Here is a 3,359-nt window from a genome sequence, read left to right as displayed (position 1 = left end):
TGGCTTAAAAGTGGCAGTTTCCCCTGTTCTCTCTCTCAATCTCTCTCTGTCTCTCTCCTGTAGCCTTGTGAAAAAGGTGCCTGCTTCTCCTTCCCCTTCTGCCATGATTGTAAGTTTCCTAAGGGCTCCCCAGCCCTGTGGAACTGTGAGTCAATTAAACCTCTTTCCTTTATAAATTACCCAGTCTCAGTTATTTCTTTATAGCAGTGTGAAAATGTACTAATACAGTCACAGAGTTAAAAGATGTATTTTTTTTTCTACCTCCACTCTGATTATTACTGTATATTTTAAATCAGTTGATGAAAATGTGGGTGGAAAATCCCTGGTATAAAATTTCTACCAGGCTCATCATCTGTGAAAGGAAAAGTTCCATTTCTACCTTCACACCGAGGGTGGCTGATGTGCTGTTTTCTTTGATATATAATCATATTAATTAATTTTAAGGAAGTTTAGCAATATCAGAAATGAAAAGAGTAATAAGAAATACTCTTAGAATTACAAACACCTCCTTCCTACGAGGAGCCTGTTTACATATATTCAAGATCAATATGAAGAACAAGTCAGTAACATTTAATTATGACTTTTTTTGTGAATAGAGGGTTAAGACGGAAATAGCAATGTTTAAAACTAGAGACTGTAGCTGAAGGCTAATAGCCAAAATATTTGTGCATGCTTAATGACCCATTTTACAATGTTTAAATGCCTCAGCTTTTCACTTTTGCCCAGGTTCTGGCATGCAAGTATGAGAGAACTGTTTTGTTCTGTGGAAATCTTTCATATGAACAAAGATGAACTAAAAAAAAAAAAAGAAAAAAAAATCCATAGGTAGAAAATCTAGCAACCTGCTGAAATTAATTTGGATAATTTGGAGAAATGTTTATCCATCACAGCAGTTTCAGCGATGTATATTATTATCATCAATTGGCCTATTCCTATGGTGAACATGAATGAAGAAAAAGAGCTTTGTGAGAGTAAAGTGCTTCACCATGGGGACTAAATTAACTCTTTATGAGTAATAGGTCTTATGTATGAGCAACCTCTTCCATGGTGCTAAGTGGTTTCCTACAGACTAGATGAAGTTAATTTATCAGCCTGCAGCTATAATAACAAAAATAATAATATAATTTCTATTTGCTTCAATTGATGTCTACGACTTACTTTGTTTGTATAATCACAAATCCTAAATATAATGCACACAAACATGCTTGCACATGAAGAACAAGCCGTCTTCTAAAATTCTAAAAAAGTGAATTAAATATTTTACTGGAACGAACATATTTTTCCCATTGCCTATTTATTATCTGATTGCAAGTCAGGCATCTTTGCTTTGTTTTATCAGTTATGGGATAGCTCATTTTTTAACTCAATCTATTTTGATGTTATTAAGGAAAGAATACTTTCATGTAAAAAGGTTTAGTATTTCTTATTTAAAATTAAAATATGACTTGGTTCCAAGATGGCCGAATAGAAACAGCTCCAGTCTACAGCTCCCAGTGTGAGCGATGCAGAAGACAGGTGATTTCTGCATTTCCAACTGAGGTACCGGGTTCATCTCACTAGGGCTCGTGGGACAGTGCGAGCAGGACAGTGGGTGCAGCCCACCAAGTGTGGGCCAAAGCAGGGCGAGGCATCGCCTCACCTGGGAAGTGCAAGGGGTCGGGGAATTCCCATTCCTAGCCAAGGGAAGGGGTGACAGATGGCACCTGAAAAATCGGGTCACTCCCACCTTAATAACTGCGCTTTTCCAATGGTCTTAGCAAAAGGCACGCAAGGAGATTACATCCCGTGCCTGGCTCAGAGGGTCCCACGCTCACGGAGTCTCGCTCACTGCTAGCACAGGAGTGTGAGATCAAACTGCAAGGCAGCAGCGAGGCTTGGGGAGGGGCGCCCGCCATTGCTGAGGCTTGAGTAGGTAAACAAAGTGGCCCCGAAGCTCGAACTGGGTGGAACCCACCACAGCTCAAGGAGGCCTGCCTGCCTGCCTCTGTAGACTCCACCTCTGGGGGCAGGGCACAGCCAAACAAAAGGCAGCAGAAACCTCTGCAGACTTAAATGTCCCTGTCTGACAGCTTTGAAGAGAGTAATGGTTCTCCCAACACGGAGTTTGAGATCTGAGAATGGACAGACTGCCTCCTCAAGTGGGTCCCTGACCCCTGAGTAGCCTAATTGGGAGGCATCCCACAGTAGGGGCAAACTGACACCTCACAGGGCCAGGTACCCTCTGAGACGAAGCTTCCAGAGGAATGATCAGGCAGCAACATTTGCTGTTCGGCAATATTCACTGTTCTGCAGCCTCTGCTGCTGATACCCAGGCAAACAGGGTCTGGAGTGGACCTCCAGCAAACTCCAACAGACCTGCAGCTGAGGGTCCTGACTGTTAGAAGGAAAACTAACAAAGAGAAAGGACATCCACACCAAAACCCCATCTGTACGTCACCATCATCAAAGACCAAAGGTAGATAAAACCACAAAGATGGGGAAAAAACAGAGCAGAAAAGATGAAAATTCTAAAAATCAGAGCACTCCTCCAAAGGAATGCAGCTCCTCGCCAGCAATGGAACAAAGCTGGATGGAGAATGACTTTGACAAGTTGAGAGAAGAAGGCTTCAGATGATCAAACTTCACCGAGCTAAAGGAGGAAGTTCGAACCCAACGCAAAGAAGCTAAAAACCTTGAAAAAAGATTAGATGAATGACTAACTAGAATAACCAGTGGAGAGAAGTCCTTAAATGACCTGATGGAGCTGAGAAACATGGCAGGAGAACTATGTGATGAATGCAAAGCTTCAGTAGCCAATTCAATCAACTGGAAGAAAGGGTATCAGTGATTGAAGATCAAATGAATGAAATGAAGTGAGAAGAGAAGTTTAGAGAAAAAAGAGTAAAAAGAAATGAAGAAAGCCTCCAAGAAATATGGGACTATGTGAAAAGAGCAAATCTACATCTGATTGGTGTACCTGAAAGTGACAGGGAGAATGGAACCAAGTTGGAAAACACTCTGCAGGATATTATCCAGGAGAATTTCCCCAACCTAGCAAGGCAGGCCAACATTCAAATTCAGGAAATACAGATAATACCACAAAGATACTCCTCGAGAAGAGCAACTCCAAGACACATAATTGTCAGATTCACCAAAGTTGAAATGAAGGAAAAAATGTTAAGGGCAGCCAGAGAGAAAGGTGGGGTTACCCACAAAGGGAAGCGCATCAGACTAACAGCGGATCTCTCGGCAGAAACTCTACAAGCCAGAAGAGAGTGGGGGCCAATATTCAACATTCTTTAAAGAATGAACATCGATGCAAAAATCCTCAATAAAATACTGGCAAACCAAATCCAGCAGCACATCAAAAAAGCTTATCC

At 41.7% G+C, this 3,359-nt stretch overlaps 2 annotated features.

Moving 5' to 3' along the window:
- Positions 1,323-1,822: an enhancer, noted in NCBI's record as "H3K4me1 hESC enhancer chr8:78792489-78792988 (GRCh37/hg19 assembly coordinates)". NCBI's record gives its function as "activates a minimal SCP1, AML or CMV promoter by ChIP-STARR-seq in naive H9 embryonic stem cells {active_cell/tissue: H9 hESC(naive)}" and the evidence as "EXISTENCE:reporter gene assay evidence [ECO:0000049][PMID:30033119]".
- Positions 1,823-2,324: an enhancer, noted in NCBI's record as "H3K4me1 hESC enhancer chr8:78791987-78792488 (GRCh37/hg19 assembly coordinates)". NCBI's record gives its function as "activates a minimal SCP1, AML or CMV promoter by ChIP-STARR-seq in naive H9 embryonic stem cells {active_cell/tissue: H9 hESC(naive)}" and the evidence as "EXISTENCE:reporter gene assay evidence [ECO:0000049][PMID:30033119]".

This window comes from Homo sapiens, chromosome 8 (genome assembly GCF_000001405.40).
Source record: "Homo sapiens chromosome 8, GRCh38.p14 Primary Assembly".
Taxonomy (NCBI): Eukaryota; Metazoa; Chordata; class Mammalia; order Primates; family Hominidae; genus Homo; species Homo sapiens.
The sequence above is the reverse complement of the archived record's forward strand: the minus strand, read 5'-3'. Positions and strand labels throughout refer to the sequence as shown.